The sequence below is a fragment of the Homo sapiens genome, chromosome 1, assembly GCF_000001405.40.
Source record: "Homo sapiens chromosome 1, GRCh38.p14 Primary Assembly".
In the NCBI taxonomy this organism is placed as follows: domain Eukaryota; kingdom Metazoa; phylum Chordata; class Mammalia; order Primates; family Hominidae; genus Homo; species Homo sapiens.
The window spans coordinates 111433756-111439876 of record NC_000001.11 but is presented as its reverse complement, the minus strand read 5'-3'; the positions used below and the strand labels follow the sequence as shown (position 1 = coordinate 111439876).

At 40.6% G+C, this 6121-nt stretch overlaps 1 pseudogene; it reads right to left on the bottom strand.

Annotated features, from left to right (window-relative positions):
- UBE2FP3 (UBE2F pseudogene 3) lies at window positions 1840-2363 on the bottom strand (annotated as a pseudogene).

Below are 6121 nucleotides of genomic sequence, written 5' to 3'. Positions count from 1 at the left end.
CTGGCGTTGATGTGGAGTAGGAATAAAGTCTTGCATCATTTTTATAATGTGGGAGGAAATAGAATGGGTAGGTACAATCACTTAAGTTCTGCCTCTCGAAGATAAAACTTTAATTTTGTGGACACTTAGAGAAAGTAAGGGGTGGGGGAGCTTGAGGTGAGTAGGAATTTGCATAGCCCTTTTCTTCCTGGACTTAAGAATGATGGAGAAAAAACTCAGTGAAAGAGATAAGGAAGCAAATGTGTGGAAATGTGTGATAAGGAAGGAAATGTGTCAAGGTGGTTACAATATGGAAGGGAAGCATAGGTTTTTTTTTTCTTTTGTTGAGATGGAGTTTCACTCTTGCTGCCCAGGCTAGTGTGCAGTGGCATGATCTTGGCTCACTGCAACCTTCGCCTCCTGGGTTCAAGCAATTCTCCTGTCTCAGCCTCTTGAGTAGCTGGGATTACAGGCTAATTTTTGTGTGTTTAGTAGAGACAGGGTTTCACCCTGTTAGCCAGGCTGGTCTCGAACTCCTGACCTCAGGTGATCTGCCCGCCTTGGCCTCCCAGAGTGCTGAGATTACAGGCATGAGCCACCGTGCCCGACCAGAAAGCATGGTTTTTGAAGGACCATATTTTATTGTAAAAAAATGTTTTGGTTCAGATAGATGTGTGCTGATGGGAGTAATTCACATCTATCAGTGACCACCACCAAGATATTTATAAACCTTATCAAATACAGTAGGAAGAGCAACCAGCACAATTTTGGATAAATGTATATGTTGCAGTGAACAAAGAAGATAGTTTAAAATAAAAGATGACCACAGAATAATTAGAAATGGTACTGTCACATATGGAGTGATTTGCTACGTCCTTCACTTGAGGATAGTTCTAGTAGAGTGAGTGCAGAGCTGATGACAAGTTGAAATGAGATCAATCTATTTGTTTAAAAATATACAAATATTTTGCATTTAATTTCATCGGTTAAAATGTCTAAACATTAGAGTAAACCCATTTCCCTATCTACATCCTTACTCTGAAGTCCACTAATCAAACCTACTCTTCCACAGCTGTTCTCTGGTCCACCAAGGGCTATGAGGCTCACCCCTTGGATGGTGCTCAGAACCACAAGGAATACTGAAGAAGCCTTGCCTATGATTTCAGGTGGCATCAGACATTGGGCTAATTTTCAAGGTGTCTCTCCTTCCCAACAGGACAGTCGGAGTCTGGTTCTTTAATAAATAGCTATATGGATCTTACTTACTGGTTCACAATCATATTACAGCAGCAAAAACACCCAAGCTCTAACTGCTCTGGGCCTCCAGCCATGTTTCCTCCAGATAGCATGTTAGAAAGGACAGGAGATTTTAAAAATCAGATTGGACTTCAGAGGGCTCCAAATTTTCTTGCCACATCTAGACCTGAAAGTAAAGAGCTCTGATTATTAAGAGGCAGATTCTCGTTGCATTTGGACAGCGTGAGTAATGGTCACACTGAACACATTAGAATCAGTTGTGAAATTGATTTTGTTTCAAAAAAGGATAAGCAAGCTGTAGTCTCAATTTTGAGTTAATTGAAATTTCTCAAGAACTTCATCAGCAGCTCACATGATACAGTTTTGGAAGAGTAAACAAGGTAAGCAGACAACCCTGGGACCCCAAACACATTTTCTTTTTTAGTTCTCCATCAAAAATAGGCATTTCTGGAGTTTTGGTCTCACTGAGTGATCACAGGACTGCTGCAATCCAGGGAACTGAGGGAGCTGTGAGCATCTGAGAAGAAAGGTTAGCTCTTGTTTTAAGTTGTAGAGACAACTTAAAACAAGTTGTGACACAATTAGTGATCCCATAATCTTTTATCATCTGGTACAACATTTAATATAGTAGCATTCTACTTACTGTGGAAACTCCTTGTTTCACAAATGATGTTCTGCAGCTTCAATATGTAATGGATGGACCATCAAAGTTCAAAATATAATAAGGAATTTAATTCCCAAACAACATCCTTTAACATTCTGGTGAAAGCCCAGCCAGTGTCACTGGTTGAAAGTGCCTTCAGTGGATATAGCTATATTTCACCTGTCCCTGTGATCATGAGGTACCAGATTCCGGTCAAGCATTTCACTTTGGGAGGCACCATGTTGTAAACATTAGGAATTTCAGGTGCAAACTAATTTTCCATTCTGGTAGTAACTCTTACCTGGAGTGTCAGCTAAGTCATGAAAATTGTTTAGATTAGAAAATGCACTTTTTATATATAGCCTAAATTAGCTTCATGTTCTGTAGTTTCTGCAGCTTGTCTCAGAAATCCTCTGAGTAGAACTGATGTATGAGACCCTTTAAGACCATTATCCAACTGCAGTTTGCTTGGCAGAGTTAGCATTAATGCACCCTTTGATCTAGGCACCTGGAGGCAGGTAAGACAGGCTCTGCGTGCACCACCGTCCCTGGACCTGTTGTGGCGGACTCCTTGAAGCAAGATCAACTTGGGCTTTGTTTGAGTTTTTAAAGTCTTTTTTTTTTAATGTAAAATTTGTCATTTTAACTTTTTAAGTATACAGTTCAGTGGCATTAAGTTTATTTGCATTTTTGTGCAGCTTTCACCACTTCCATCTCCAAAACTTTTTCATCATCCCAAACTGAAACTGTACTTATTAAACAGTAACTCCCCTTCCTCAAGACCCTGGCAATCACCATTCATCTTCATTTCTATAAATTTGACTATTCTAGACATACGTGTAAGTGGGAGCATACAATATTTGGTTTTTTTAGAGGGGGGTTCTGGCTTAATTTTATAAGGTGTTAACTTGTTCCTCAAAATGTGTTCTATAAACTGGCAGCATTTGCATATCTTGGAACTTGCTTGAAATACAGAATGTCCAGATCTACTGAGTCAGAATTTACATTTTCAAAAGCTTCCTACGTGACTCATGCATATTAAAGTTTGGGAAGCACTGACTTAGATTACCTTTTGAGAATTCCAGATGGGTCAGAAACCAGACAGAAATACTCAGTAGTGAGAAGCTATGGTGTATCAGAAGCTGTTAGGCATTTCATGGTTTGGTAGTGAGCAAGACAGATAGTTTTCCTGTATTCAGCGACTTAGTCTAGAGAGAGACAGGATGGAATTAAGTGTTTAGGTGCTAGCCAAAAGTAAAGATTCGTAGAAAACAAGGGTTCATATCCCAGTCATCAAAGTGATAAATTTTCCCTGCTTAACATTTAGATTAAAAAGTAATAATTAGGCCAGGTGTGGTGGCTCACACCTGTAATCCCAGCACTTTTGGAGGCTGAGGTGGACAGATCACTTGAGCTCAGGAATTCGAGACCAGCCTGGGCAACATGGTGAAACCCCATCTCTACAAAAAATACCAAAGTCGGGCACGGTTGGTTGTGTGTGCCTGTAGTTCCAGCTACACGGGAGGCAGAGGCAGGAGAATCACTTGAGCCTGGGAGGCAGAGGTTGCAGTGAGCCAAGATTGGGTCTTTGTACTCTAGCCTGGGCGACAGGAGTGAAACAGTCTCAAAAGAAAAAATTAATTGACAAACATTGTGTATATTCAAGGTATACAACGTGATTATTTGATAGACGTGTAATGAGTTATCACAACAAGCAAATGGTACACAATATAGTTTCGGAGGGTTTATGTATAAGGGGACTAATTAGAAAGGTTTGGAAATGGTGTAGGAGAACCAAAGGGCTAGTGCCCAAGGGCAAGGGAAGGGAGTGGTTACCTGAAACTGGAAGAAAAGATAGTTTTGTAGAGCATCTGCTTTGAGAGCAGCAGTGACTTTTATCAAGAGATAGAGTTACCTTGATGCCACATCACGGGGTGATCCAGGAGAATGAATACGCCGATTTCTGTCCTCCCTTCCTCTACTCTTCCATCAGGCTGTACCCAACAGAGCCCATTTGATGTAGTCCAAACAGACAGACTTTCAGGGGCAGCAAGTGAGGTGGAGAAAGATGGGAAATACTAATAGAAGGGCAGTTGGAAAATATGTTTAGTCTGCCTTTTTGCCCCTTATCATCCTCTCTTGTCCTTAATATAGGTGAAATTTCATGTCCTTAACACAAGAGATGCCTAGAGTCCCATCAACTATTTTATCATTATGGGGTGATAACCATTTGTTCGTGCTTCCATCTTAAACCTAAAGGATTAGGTATCATTAGTGTCCTCATATAAAGCAGCAGTAGAAAAGTGAGAAGAGAAAAACAAGGAATGAAATATAGCTGTTAGAGTTCCTACTCGTAAATGGTCATACAGCCTAAGTATCATGGCCATCTTTTCCCACCATCCATTCGACGTTGGGTTCCCCTCACCCTCTGAGAACCCCTCGTCCAGGTTCCCCTCGCCCTCTGAGAACATTGGTGAGATGACCAAACCTGAGTGCGGGGTCTGAGTTCTTAGTGATTTGCTCTTTATTGGGTTTCTGCAGCTTTCCGTCATGGGAATTACTGGGCAAGGGAGTAGTGAAGATGTCCCAGTGAGTCCCCAGAGTCGCAAACACAGTCCTCCTTTCTCTGGTTGTGTAGCAGCAACTCAATTCCCCCCTGGTAATTGGGATCAATCACCCCAACTGGTGCAATGGCTTCTTTCTTTACATTTTTTTTTCCAGTGGCCTAAGGAGCCCCAGATGGCCAAGAGGTAGCCTTAGCTTCTAATTCATTGAGACCATAACTGTACTGGGTGAAACATTCCTCATTTAATGCTAGAATCTTCAAGCCTACTTAGCCAGGACTACTGAATAAGCAGCAAAAACTCTTCAAGTGAATTATTAGATATAATAGTAAAACAGGCAACTTCTGTTCCTACCCCTTGGTTCTTAATTGCAGCTATGCATTTTGGCCTTGGGAGAGATGACACCATATATTCTCCCTGATTTAAGGCATAGTGGCATTAATACAGTGGACCAATATAATGTTTTGTGGGCTACTAAGAAATTTAAGTTCCCTTTGGACTATATTATAACAAAAAGTGGAAGAGTTGACACAGTCCTGGGGCAAGATGGTATTAATAAAAGTATACTCTTGTCCCTACCATACAAGTGCAGTTTCCCCAAATTTCTTAATGATTGGAATGGAAGATAAAGCAGGTCAGTAGCTGTATGTCAAGTGCAAGGGGCTATGTCATTTTGCTCCATTAAAGAACAGCACATCTGGAATTGTAGTTGTGATTGGCAGCACAACCTGATTATCAACTGTAATTCTTCAGAATTTGTCTGGTTTTCGCACCAGCCAATTAGGTGAATTAAGGGATGATGTGGTAAGAATCATCACTCTGCATTTCTCAAGTTTTTGATGGTAGCATTATTTCTGCAATTCCTCTAGGGACGTAGTAGTGTTGTTTTGTTTTGTTTTGTTTTGTTTTTTACTATTTTTTTAAACTATAAAGTTTAAAACACACACACACAACACACACACGCATACATATATGCAACTCCAGAGGTTTCTGCCTGACCCTTCCTACCATAACAGTCCTCCTACCAGAGGCCAAGGAAATAACGTAAGGACTCTGCTTGTTAGTGATATCTATTCCCAGTATACATTCTGGGACTTGGGAAGAATCACATAATAAGTCCGTGGTTATGCTGCTTAGATGGACTCAGGCCAAGACTTCATTTACCCCTTGAAATTTATAAGCCCCCAGTGACATGTTAGGCACATTGGTGTTTCCAGTCTCTGAGAATCAGTGTAAATTTAGAGACAGTATCTAATGCCCCTGCATAGTCTAGGCATTTCTTTTTCCCAGTGTGAAGTCATGCAGCCCACACTATCTCTGGGGAAAGCTTGGGTGAAAATTCAGAATGCATACCTATAGCTACATTGCAGGATCCCTTCTCAGAAGGACCCAGCTTCCTCATAGTTAAGTGGCTCCAGGATTGTGAACTAGTTTAGATCTGGGAACTGGGTAAAAAGCTATGAATATGAATCCCTTCTATAGTAATCTGGGTTCGGTTTCTGTCTTGTAGACCTAGAAATTTTCCACCTATGTATGTCTAGCTGCACCTTAGTAGGCTGCTCATTTATTTCATTTCTTGGAACCTTACCATCAATTAGTCATCACTACAAATTCTTATAGGTCAAAACACCATGATTATCATTTCTTTATATTTAGTTTAATTAACTTATTTATTTGA